Here is a 13,051-nt window from a genome sequence, read left to right on the forward strand (position 1 = left end):
GCACAGAGGGAAAGCTAATAAATATTTGTTGAATAAATGAAGGGATATATCCTTGTTGGATGAATGAATTAGTGACATTTGTAAACTGTAGTGGGTTTTTTTGGACAAAAAGTATTAGGTCATGTTTTGGCTTAGAGAACAGTTTTCTAATCCCTCCCTATGATATTGGTTTATATATATTATACCCATAAATTCTTGCACCCTCATTGAAATATTTATGTAATGACTTGACTATTTTATACCATGTTTACAAACATGATTCTTGCCTTTCATTAATCATTGCAGTGGTCCCACCTTTGCTTACATAATTTTTAGATGACTGATAGCAGCAAACCTCATATTTTAACATTTATATTAGTTAAAATATTTTATAGCACTCTAAAATGATGCCATATTAATGCAATTTAAGTGGTTGTGTTTTTTGCCTTTTAAAACTGATTTAAGTACAATTTAGATGGCTTTATACTCTGAAAGCTGATAATTTATGTTAAGTTTAAAATTCATATTCCTTTTTCTATCTTAGAAATTAGGGGCTTTTAGAAATGAAATATCTTATCTTTGTTTCTGTGGGTGTTTCATATTTATCTTTTTATTTAGTGATATAGCATCTTTTCCAAGACTAACCCAGAGAAATAGCTCTTAAGGTTATTATTGGCTTCCTCACACCAAAGTCTTAGGGCGTAAGAAACCATTGGTCCTTTTGTAGCTAGACGAAAATCTTGGGGTGAAGATAAGGTGTGGAAGAAGAACAGAACCGGTGTCTCCACCTTCACTAGTAGCCTTCCAGAAATCTTTCAAATGGGCTTTCTAAAGTAAGGCAAGACCCAGTGAGCATGTCCTCGGTTCTTCTGCCAACTCTGGAGCTCTGGGAACCTAGGACTTGCTTGCAAAACCAGACCAGGGGAGTCCCAGGACATAGATCAGTTTCATCAAAGGGTCCGAGGTGGTTAATAGACACTATCAATAGGTTGGGAGAGGGCACTTGTCATCCAAAGAGCTGTGTCGGACTTTCAGTCAGGGTGTCATGATCATTTGCTGTGCCTGGTGTTACCATGTTCCCCTTGCCCTTACTGAAGATCCATGACTCGGAAAACATAGTGCTCCTGCTCAGTAACCTTCAACCTGCTGCCTCTAGTACTTTTTCTGTCCTAGTCTGTTGCACAGCAGCCCACTCCCCATCTATCTGTCCACTTCCAGGACTGCCCTTAGAATTCATTCATTCATTTATTTAACAAATATTTATCGAAGAGTTCATTATATATAGCAGGCATTTGTGCTAGATTTTGGATATACAGTGCTAAATAAAAAAAATTGGCCACTGAGTACCAAATTTTTAAAAAGTTTTTGCTTGAATTTAAACAAATTTAAAGGCTATGCTGCCTGCCTTCAGGGATAGGTCCCTGTCTTTAAAGTATGTGGCCTTGTGAATAGGATTATTTGGATACCAAAAACGAGGAACTCGCCTCCCAACTGGGACTGGAAACTGTGCCATCATAGGGGCCCAGGTTATAGGAAGGAGGGGACGGAATTACAATCTTCTTAGAACTTGAGGCCCAGACCATTCAGGATTCCATAAACAAACTTCTGTGAGACTAGTTCATCTGCTCTTCTCCACAAACATGCCCCCCTCCCAGTATTTCTGAGGCCAAACCCTGGCCACTGTGTAGAACTTTTTATCCCTGAGTCTGAATATCCATGTTTTATGAAGCTGATTTCCTAGGTGGCCTTTAGCCTTTGGCACCTTGTGGATTGCCAGTGGCAGACTGCTGTCACATGAAAAGCTTGGCCAGTTATAACCTTGTATCATGGAGGACTGACCTTCCCAGTGTGTGTGCCATGTTGTAGCTCCCAGTGCATGGCCACGTGCTGTGCTGCCTCCTGGTCTTGGGGCTGGTTATAAATCTGCAGTTCACTCATGTGTTCCTATACGAGGCCTTTTACAGACTCCAAATAGATGGTCCTGAGCTGATACTGTCATTGTCACCATGATCCTGGAGACACAGCCTGTAGCTGTGTGGAAGTAAACTTCTAAAACCTGTCTCTTCTGAGAGTTACTGCATGAAAACAGGCAAGGATGGGTCAAGTTTTGGACCAGCAGCCCAAGTTCCACCAACCACTCTGTTATACAGAGGCTTCTAAGCTATGCAGAGTGCTATGAAGGGTTTATTCTTCTTTTGCCCACCTGACTGATATACTGATGTACTTTTTGAAGAAGGGCAATGGAATTTACCTAGACGTCACTGTGGTCTTGATGTGGCTGAAGTGTTTTGTTGAAGGCTCTTTAGTCCTGTACTCATTTAGATTGACTCTCACTTCTGGTCCCTTTTTGTGGTGCAGACTAAAGCCTCAAACTCTGTAAAAGACAATGGCTTGTCTCATGTAAGTATGTGGAATAGGGGCCTAATACGGGAAAATAAGCTACTGGCAGTAAAAAAATTTTATATTTTTATTTATTTTTTATTTTTTTATTTTTATTTTTATTATACTTTAAGTTTTAGGGTACATGTGCACAACGTGCAGATTAGTTACATATGTATACATGTGCCATGTTGGTGTGCTGAACCCTCCTAATGCTATCCCTCCCCCCTCCCACCAACCCCACAACAGGCCCCAGTGCGTGATGTTCCCCTTCCTGTGTCCATGTGTTCTCATTCTTCAATTCCCACCTATGAGTGAGAACATGCAGTGTTTGGTTTTTTGTCCCTGAGATAGTTTGCTGAGAATCATGGTTTCCAGCTTCATCCATGTCCCTACAAAGGACATGAACTCATCATTTTTTATGGCTGCATAGTATTCCATGGTGTATATGTGCCACATTTTCTTAATCCAGTCTATCATTGTTGGGCATTTGGGTTGGTTTCAAGTCTGCTATTGTGAATAGTGCTGCAGCAAACATACATGTGCGTGTGTCTGTATAGCAGCATGATTTATAGTCCTTTGGGTATATACCCAGTAATGGGATGGCTGGGTCAAATGGCATTTCTAGTTCTAGATTCCTGAGGAATCACCACACTGACTTCCACAACGGTTGAACTAGTTTACAGTCCCACCAACAGTGTAAAAGTGTTCCTATATCTCCACATCCTCTCCAGCACCTGTTGTTTCCTGCCTTTTAATGATCTCCATTCTAACTGGTGTGAGATGGTATCTCATTGTGGTTTTGATTTGCATTTCTCTGATGGCCAGTATTGATGAGCATTTTTTCATGTGTCTTTTGGCTGTATAAATGTCTTCTTTTGAGAAGTGTCTGTTCATATCCTTCACCTACTTTTTGATGGGGTGTTTGTTTTTTTCTTGTAAGTTTGTTGGAGTTCATTGTAGATTCTGGATACCCTTTGTCAGATGAGTAGATTGCAAAAATTTTCTCCCATTCTGTAGGTTGCCTGTTCACTCTGATGGTAGTTTCTTTTGCTGTGCAGAAGCTCTTTAGTTTAATTAGATCCCATTTGTCAATTTTGGCTTTTGTTGCCATTGCTTTTGGTGTTTTAGACATGAAGTCCTTGCCCATGCCTATGTCCTGAATGGTATTGCCTAGGTTTTCTTCTAGGGTTTTTATGGTTTTAGGTCTAACATTTAAGTCTTTAATCCATCTTGAATTAATTTTTGTATAAGGTGTAAGGAAGGGATCCAGTTTCAGCTTTCTACATATGGCTAGCCAGTTTTCCCAGCACCATTTATTAAATAGGGAATCGTTTCCCCATTTCTTGTTTTAGTCAGGTTTGTCAAAGATCGAATGGTTGTAGATATGTGGCATTATTTCTGAGGGCTCTATTCTGTTTCATTGGTCTATATGTCTGTTTTGGTACCAGTACCATGCTGTTTTGGTTACTGTAGCCTTGTAGTATAGTTTGAAGTCAGGTAGCGTGATGCCTCCAGCTTTGTTCTTTTGGCTTGGGATTGACTTGGCAATGCGGGCTCTTTTTTGGTTCCATATGAACTTTAAAGTCGTTTTTTCCAATTCTGTGAAGAAAGTCATTGGTAGCTTGATGGGGATGGCATTGAATCTATAAATTACCTTGGGCAGTATGGCCATTTTCATGATATTGATTCTTCCTACCCATGAGCATGGAATGTTCTTCCATTTGTTTGTATCCTCTTTTATTTCATTGAGCAGTGGTTTGTAGTTCTCCTTGAAGAGGTCCTTCATGTCCCTTGTAAGTTGGATTCCTAGGTATTTTATTCTTTTTGAAGCAATTGTGAATGGGAGTTCACTCATGATTTGGCTCTCTGTTTGTCTGTTATTGGTGTATAAGAATGCTTGTGATTTTTGCACATTGATTTTGTATCCTGAGACTTTGCTGAAGTTGCCTATCACCTTAAGGAGATTTTGGGCTGAGACGATGGGGTTTTCTAGATATGCAATCATGTCATCTACAAAAAGGGACAATTTGACTTCCTGTTTTCCTAACTGAATACCGTTTATTTCCTTCTCCTGCCTAATTGCCCTGGCCAGAACTTCCAACACTGTGTTGAATAGGAGTGGTGAGAGAGGGCATCCCTGTCTTGTGCCAGTTTTCAAAGGGAATGCTTCCAGTTTTTGCCCATTCAGTATGATATTGGCTGTGGGTTTGTCATAAATAGCTCTTATTACTTTGAGATACATCCCATCAATACCTAATTTTTTTGAGAGTTTTTAGCATGAAGGGTTGTTGAATTTTGTCAAAGGCCTTTTCTGCATCTGTTGAGATAATCATATGGTTTTTGTTGTCGGTTCTGTTTATATGCTGGATTATGTTTATTGATTTGCGTATGTTGAACCAGCCTTGCATCCCAGGGATGAAGCCCACTTGATCATGGTGGATAAGCTTTTTGATGTGCTGCTGGATTCGGTTTGCCAGTATTTTATTGGGGATTTTTGCATTGATGTTCATCAGGGATATTGGTCTAAAATTCTCTTTTTTTTGTCGTGTCTCTGCCAGGCTTTAGTATCAGGATGATGCTGCCCTCATAAAATGAGTTAGGGAGGATTCCTTCTTTTTCTATTGATTGGAATGGTTTCAGAAGGAATAGTACCAGCTCCTCCTTGTACCTCTGGTAGAATTCAGCTGTGAATCCGTCTGGTCCTGGACTTTTTTTGGTTGGTAAGCTATTAATTATTGCCTCAATTTCAGAGCCTGTTATTGGTCTATTCAGAGATTCAACTTCTTCCTGGTTTCGTCTTGGGAGGGTGTATGTGTCGAGGAATTTATCCATTTCTTCTAGATTTTCTAGTTTATTTGCGTAGAGGTGTTTATAGTATTCTCTGATGGTAGTTTGTATTTCTGTGGGATCAGTGGTGATATCCCCTTTATCATTTTTTATTGTATCTATTTGATTCTTCTCTCTTTTTTTCTTTATTAGTCTTGCTAGTGGTCTATCAATTTTGTTGATCTTTTAAAAAAACCAGCTTCTGGATTCATTGATTTTTTGAAGGGTTTTTTGTGTCTCTATTTCCTTTAGTTCTGCTCTGATCTTAGTTATTTCTAACATCACAATTAAAAGAACTAGAGAAGCAAGAGCAAACACATTCAAAAGCTAGCAGAAGGCAAGAAATAACTAAAAAAAATTATTTTAATTCCCACTATAAATATCTGGATATTAGCAAAAGAGAGTCTGATACACAGTAACCATCTCATTGAAACAGCAGAGCTCTGAAGAGTTTTAATATCTTGACAGTTCTATCCTGGCTAGCATGATGGAGTTCTGTTTGCTGAAATTTTTTATGTTCCATAACCTCCTTGAAAGCCAGAATCTTTGGTGTTAACTACAGTTTCTTAACTATACCTGTTAAGAAATAAGGTATAGTAGGGAGGCATGGTGCTCAAACTCTCTGGAAAATCCCAGAGATGTTTGCAACCCTATGCCTCGTGAACAACCCAAGCCTGGTGAAGTCCTGAATCACCCTAAGAGGCCCCCAGTGATGTGCACGAAAATCTTAGGGTGAAGGTAAGGGGTTCAGTGGGCCAGACCCGGTGGCTCACGCCTGTAATCCTAGCATGTTGGGAGGCCGAGGTGGGTGGATCACCTGAGGCCTGGAGTTAGAGACCAGCCTGGCCAACATGGTGAAACCCCTTCTCTACTAAAAATACAAAAATGGGCAGGGCATGGTGGCGCGTGCCTGTAATTCCAGCTACTCAGGAGGCAGAGACAGGAGAATTGCTTGAACCCTGGAGGCAGAGATTGAGCTGAGATCGTGCCACTGCACTCTTGCTTGGGTGGTAGAGTGAGACTGTGTCTCAAAAAAAAAAAAAAGAAAGAAAGAAAAGAAAGGGGTTCCATGTCCATCACACGTGGTCTTATTGACAACTCCAGAATTGGGCTTTACATCCTGTATGAAATGCTTTAAAAATATGAACACATTGTTATACCTCACAGATTTTGGTTCCATTAGACAGTAAAATCACAGTAACCAAGTAAAAGCCCACCCTTTTAAATAGGATTTAGTCTAGCCTGGCCATTCCTAGTGAATCCTTATTACCTTCAAGTGAGAAGAAAGCTCACCTAGAACAGTGTTGCAGCTAGCAGTGATTAAAGTGCTTGTGCCATGGCATTGATTCTTGCGGTCACTAGGTTGATTGTCTTTAATGGATGAGAGAGGATTAGCAATTTTGATTCCCCTTTGCATTTTATTCTTACGTAAGGATTTAATTTCCAACAAGAAAATCATGAAATTAGTTTCTGGCAAAAAGAGATTTTCTATTTACTGGTTTCTGCCTTACACATTTTTGTGGTCTCTGGATCCAGTTTAAGCTTCGCTGAGCCCAAATCTCAATTTATGAAGGCAAAAGTAGGTTTGTACTTAAGAGAGACAAATGACAATCTAGTCAGCAACAGATAAGGGAAGTCAGAAGCAAGATCTTCCTGTTGACAACAGATAGGTTGAGTGTTATCTAGTTGGAGATTTTATTTTTTAGTTGTTTATTTTGTCGGTTGCCACAGGTTGAGACTTGCTGGTAGCACATCTAAGGTCTTTGGGACAATCCTGGAACTCAGGGTTGAGGTGGAGGGTTGGCCAGCTGTCAGGATGCTCTCGGAACCTTCTGGTAAGCTGCTCCCACTGAGATGGAACTCAAGGCAGAAGTTAGTCTTTGTATCTTGGAAATAAACAGATTAGTAGTAAGAAACTATTAAAGAGAGCTGACATCTTAGAAGGTGTGGCTACACAACAGCCCTGGCCCTTGACATCAGGACTTGGTAAGGCCAAGACATCAGCGATGTCTTCCACTGATCCAAACACCAGGCAATGCCTAGTGATGTAGTTTTTTGGAATCAGTTGGTAGGGTTTCTTGTTGGTAGGGGATGCTTTGACATACTTCATTAATGCTTTGTAATAATCTAGCATAACACTATTTAGTATGAAATGTCTGACAGTAGTTAGCTACTGGGGGAGTAACTAGCAGCCACATAGGCCTAATATTTCAAGTGGCAAGAGTCACAGCATTCTGTGTTATAGATCTCATGTTTGTAAGAGCAGTAGGCTGAGTGTTTGGCCTTTGTGGTCTGGTTTCTGCACAAATTTTGGTCATTTTATTTTTCAAAATTCCGCCAGTAAAGGGTGCTAATAATAACTAATTTTTCCCAATTACTCAACAATATTATTAGAGCTGCCCCATTTGTTAGAACCATAATGTGAGAAAAGCTGTCAGTACAAAGCAGTTAATCCTTTTCCCTTTGGAGCCTTTGTAAGAGTTCAGATTCTGGGGAGGCTTTTTTTTTTTTTTTTTTGTACAGGTAAAGTATTCATATGAATGTACTTTAGATTGCATGGACCTTTTTAGGAAAATGTAGGATCTTGTCCACCAGCAAGGACAGACGTGACTATCCTCAAAATGACTGTAGATAAACTTCTAAAAGGCGTTTACCTGAAGTTTAACACAATATCAGGACACACACTTTATAGGACAGAGTGTAAAGAAAGGTTTTCAAGTCTTTAGATTCATCAGTGCCTTCACTACTATCATTATCTGGAATCAGCAGGCGTACTGAAGTGTGCCATTTATGTGTACAAAGACATGTATACAAGGATATGATTGCACATTGTAATAGCAAAAGATTGGAAACAACCCAAATGCACAAGTTAGAGACCCGTTGGAGTAGATTGTGAAATATATCATGCAATGGAATGTTATGCAGCCATTAAAAAGATGAATGAGTTCTGTCTGTAACAATACATACCAAACTTCAAGTTTTATTCAGTAGGAAAAGCCAGATGGGAAACAGTGTGAATTGTAAGATGTTACTCTGTGTGTGTTTGTGTGTGTGCACACATGCATGCATTTAAACCTCAACAGAGCATATAGTTGTTGTATATGGATAGAATATCCCTGGAGAGAAATACAAGAAGATAAATAGTTGCCTTCAGTAAAGGAAGTCAGTAGCTGGGGGCAGGCTTAGGAGGGATATGTGCTTTTCATTCTAAATACATTTTGAATTTTGTATCATAAATGTTTATTGCCTATTCAGAATTTTAAAAAATGCTACATGGGACCCACCTTCTGGAATGCATTTGATAGGAGTGATGGATTCAGCAGGAAGACCACCTTAGACACTGTCAGGATGTTCAGGGAAACCAGGATAAGGACATAGATTAGCTTGTCTGCACTGGGAAGGAAGGAAGGGCTAGATGAGAGACTTTGTGCACAAGGACTGGAGAGCTGTGTGGCCGAAGGGAGGGGAGAAGGAGAGGAGGAAGTGAATGTGGAGTTACTGATTTGGGGAGGATTGGTATATAAATGATGCCTTTAATTAAGAGTTGAAAATGGGAATAAAAGCAGGTTGGTAGTGGGGGTTGTGAAAAGAAGACTTCAGGTCCAGACATGGTGAATTTGAAGTGATGTGAGATACCCTGGTGATGTCTTGCAGTCAATTCAGAGAACAGCTTTAAACACTATTAAAATGGCTTAAAGTACTTTTTTGCTATCATTTTCATAGTTCTTTTGAAGTTTTTAGCATACTCAAATATCTTTTCCATTCCTTAAGTATGATTATGGTGTAATGGAAAATTTAGGTTTTAAAAATATTTTAGTTTTGTGGTGACCAATACAAAACAAGATAATTATTTTGTTTTGAAATTTCCCATTACATATGTGTCTTGTACAAAGCCATTTACCGTTATAAACTAAAAGAGCTTGTGCCAAGGGAATGAGACTAATGGATTGTTCCAATCTCTGGTACAGTCGGAAAATATTAAATGAATGGTAAAACATTTAATGTGTCCATTAACTAATACTGCTAATTTACAGTGGGAGTGTGTGTGAAAGCCTACATAAATAATTTCTGAAGTCACTGTGATCCCTGTAATTACAATTAATACTGAAAAAACTTCTCAATTTCCCATGTGCGTTGTAATAGTTCCAAAACAATGCCCTGTGTTAATATATATCTTGTAAATATTTTGTTCTCGGAAGGTGCCTGGCTTACATAGACTTGCCTATGTGAGTGAATGAAGTCATTATTACTATTATTATTACTAGCCAGCACTTTCACATTTCCTTTCTTGCTCACCATTTAAAAATGCATAGTAAGGTATAAGGCTGAGATGCAACTGTGCAGCAGCCCTCAATATTGTTCTTAAGGGGAGAAAAAGTGAGCAGCACGTGCAGTCTTTTCTGCCTGTCCTTTCAGGATAATGTCAGTAAATTCTTTGCCAATCCTTCATTCTCTCGTAGATGGCTAGGGAGGAAGGCAGATATAGTTTCAAATCTTACCTACACATCGTGACCTTGGACAAGTTGCAAACCTTTCTAAGCCTTAGGGTCCTCCCAGCAAAGGACTGCTTGCCACTCTTTGAATTATGTGGATGAAATGAGATGATATACCTGGCCTGTTATAATTACTCCATAAATGGTAAATCTTAGTATTTTGGACTTGTGAAATGATTTCAACTCCAAACATGAATAATGGAGTCATCTAAACCCTCCCTCACGGTCACTCCTCACAATGAGTTAGCAAGTCCCATGAATTCTACCTCCTAAAAATCTATGGAATCCTTTTTTATCTCTGTCAGCTGCTGAAATCTTCATGGAGTGCTCCTATGCACAGCAGCCTCACTGCACCCCTAACTCATGCCCTGCCATGCCTTTCCTGCCATTTAATAAGAGTCTCCCACCACGGCTTTCCACTACCAAGTGGACCATCTACACTGCTGCCCTGCCAGTTATCTTCCTAAAATGAGTATCTGGTTTGTGTCTCTTCCTGGCTTAAACCCCTTTAGTAACCGTGCTCTGTCACTTTTAGGATCAAATCTGTACTCTTTGGTGTGGTTAAAAGGTTCCTCATAATTGCCCCTCTGCTTTTATTTTCCATTTGCAGCCCATGGTTGTCACATCACGCTGTTTATAATGCCCAGCCCCTGCCTGATCTCTCTTCTTCAATGTGCTCATGTGTCCCTTGGCTTACAGTATCCATGCCTTCTCCTTCTCCCTCCTTGTGGCTTCTTCCCCGCCGACATACACAGGAAACCTTACTTGGCCTTCCCACCCACAACCCCGCCCGCCCCTTCTTTTTTTTTTTTTTTTTTTTTGAGACAAGTCTCACTCTTGGCTGGGCTGGAATGCAGTGGCGTGATCATAGCTCACTGTAGCCTCAATCTCCTGGGCTCAGGTGATCCTCCTGCTCCGGCTTTCCCAGGCATATGCCACCATGCTAGGCTAATTTTTGAGTTTTTGTAGAGATGGGGCCTTGTGATATTGCCCAGGCTGGTCTCAAACTTCTGGCCTCAAGTAGTCTTCCCACGTTGGCCTCCTAAATTGATGGGATTACAGACATGAGGCATCGCTCCTGACCTCTTCCTCCCTTCTTATTTGAGTATCTTCTTCCCCGACAAAGCATTCTCAGATCCTCTAGTCTTGGTTAGTTTCCCCTTCACTGTGTTCTCATTGCACCCCAGATGTTGAAAGCATAAATACAGTTCAGATCACGAAGGGTCTTGTAAGCCATGCCAAGTGGTTTAGAAGATGACAGGAACCTACTCCACTGAAATTAGTTTCACTTATCTGTGTTTCCCCATTGGACTGTGAGCTCTCTGAGTGAAAGGACTGGGTATTTCATTTCTGTTTCCTGGAGGCTGCAACATTGTTTGGCAGAAAATAGGAATACTTTGTATTTTCTAATGAATGAACGGATGGATTCAAATGGAGAGTGTAAGTTTTAAACTATCACAATAGGTGACCTTCTGCACTTTGCTCACAACCTTATAGCTTATCTAACCCTTCACCTTTGCCCATCACTGAAAACATTAACATACTCTGTTGTTGGATTGTCTTTTAGAATAAAGTCACAAAACAGACATGAAGTGGGTGCAGCAAATCAAATGTTAATATGTAAGTGGAGAAAAGTGCTATAAAGATAAGAATAGCATGTCGTGATGGAGAATAAAAGGGGAGACCTTAGATAAACTTATAAGGGAAAACCAGAAAACTCTTATTTTTCAAACACTTGTTTATTGAACTCACAAGGAGCTCACAAACTTGGAGACACTAGGCAAACTACATAGAATTATGCTGCAGATTTGTGTGGCTTGCGTGTCAGTTTTGAGTTCTTTTATTTACCTTGTAAAATATGCTTGCTTTATATTGGCAGTGTAGTATTAATTGACTTTAGTCTGTTCTTAGAGTACTAAGTACTTTTTAGATTTTTAAAACCAATTTTAGTAATAAGACATAGCTATGTATTATATAGTGAAATGAAATTATGCTTAATTATTTTAAAAATTATGATAGGAAAAATAATTTTGTTATTGGTAATCTGAAACTTTCTTTCCATATCTTAACCTTTTTATTTCTGTTGAACAGTTGTTTTTTATGACCTTTGAAATCTTAGAGTTCCATATAACAAAATATGGCAAAATGGATTGTGCCCTAGACAGGGTTCCATGGACTACGTGGAGGAGCCTGAGAAATAGGCACTATTTGTCTAGTATAACAGGAGAAAGAGGTTGTGATTTAAAGCTGAAAGACCTGACTACATCTTCTGCCTGCGTGACTTACCAAGTTTGCAATTTTAAAAAAGTTACATTTCTTTTTACCTCTTATATACACCAGTTACATGGAAGATTAAATGAGATGGTGAATATGATCATATTGATAGCAAAGCACTTTGAAAATGTAAGATGCTGCGGAAGTAATCCTTCTGTTTATTTATCAAAATCAGAGCCCCATTAAGTGTCCTGTGTTTAATGAGCTTAATTATTAGTTCTTTTGGTTGTTTGTAACCATAGATATTAATTGATATTATTGAAATTACGAATATAAGAGAATAGATTTCAGGTATTATTGATTTACCAGTTTATTACAATATCAAAATTTGTAATTATTTTTTTTATGGGTGTGGTAGGCTGAATAATGGACCCCCAAAGATGTTCACATCCTAATCCCTGGAACTTACAGAATGAGTGGCACGTTACCTGGCAAAAGAAACTTTGTAATTGTGATCATGTGATCTTCATATGAGATGATCCTGGATTATCTAGGTGGGCCCAGTGCAATAAGAGGGAAGCAAGAGGAATCAGAGAGTCAGAGAAGGTGTGACTATGAAGGCAAGAGGTTGGAGAGATGCAAGGAAGGGGCTGCAAGCGGAGGAAGGTAGGCAGACCCTGGAAGCTGAGAAGGGCAAAGACATGGATTCTCCTCTAGAGTCGAGAGTCTCTGGAAGGAATGGAGCCCTCCCAACATCTTTATTTTATTTTATTCATTTTTAAAAATAGATTTAGAGGGTACAGGAGCAGCTTTATTACATGGATATATTGCATAGTGGTGAAGTCTGGATTTTTAGTGTAACCATCACCTGAATAGTGCACATTGTGCAAATTAAGTAATTTATCATCAGTCACCTCCCTTCCACCCTTTAGAGTCTCCAGTGTCCATTATTCCACACTATGTCCATGTGTACACATTATTTAACTCCCACGTATAAGTGAGAACATGTGGTACTTCTGCTTCTGAGTTATTTCGCTGAAGATTAATGGCTTCTAGTTCCATCCATTATTCTGCAGAAGACATGATTTTATTCTTTTTTGTGACTGAGTAGTATTCCATGGTGTGTGTGTGTGTGTGTGTGTGTGTGTATACACATG

At 39.4% G+C, this 13,051-nt stretch overlaps 1 protein-coding gene across 8 annotated transcripts in view; it reads left to right on the forward strand.

Annotated features, from left to right (window-relative positions):
• DGKH (diacylglycerol kinase eta) overlaps positions 1-13,051 on the forward strand; it is a 216,515-nt gene that overhangs the window by 98,395 nt on the left and 105,069 nt on the right. The window contains exon 2 of one of the 8 annotated variants that reach the window (NR_123715.2): positions 1,933-2,379. The exons of the other annotated variants lie outside the window; for them this stretch is intronic. The gene's annotated coding sequence lies outside the window, so the exon portion shown is untranslated. The remainder of the gene's footprint in view (positions 1-1,932; positions 2,380-13,051) is intronic. 8 annotated transcript variants of the gene reach the window in all.

This window comes from Homo sapiens, chromosome 13 (assembly GCF_000001405.40).
Source record: "Homo sapiens chromosome 13, GRCh38.p14 Primary Assembly".
NCBI classification, from domain to species: domain Eukaryota; kingdom Metazoa; phylum Chordata; class Mammalia; order Primates; family Hominidae; genus Homo; species Homo sapiens.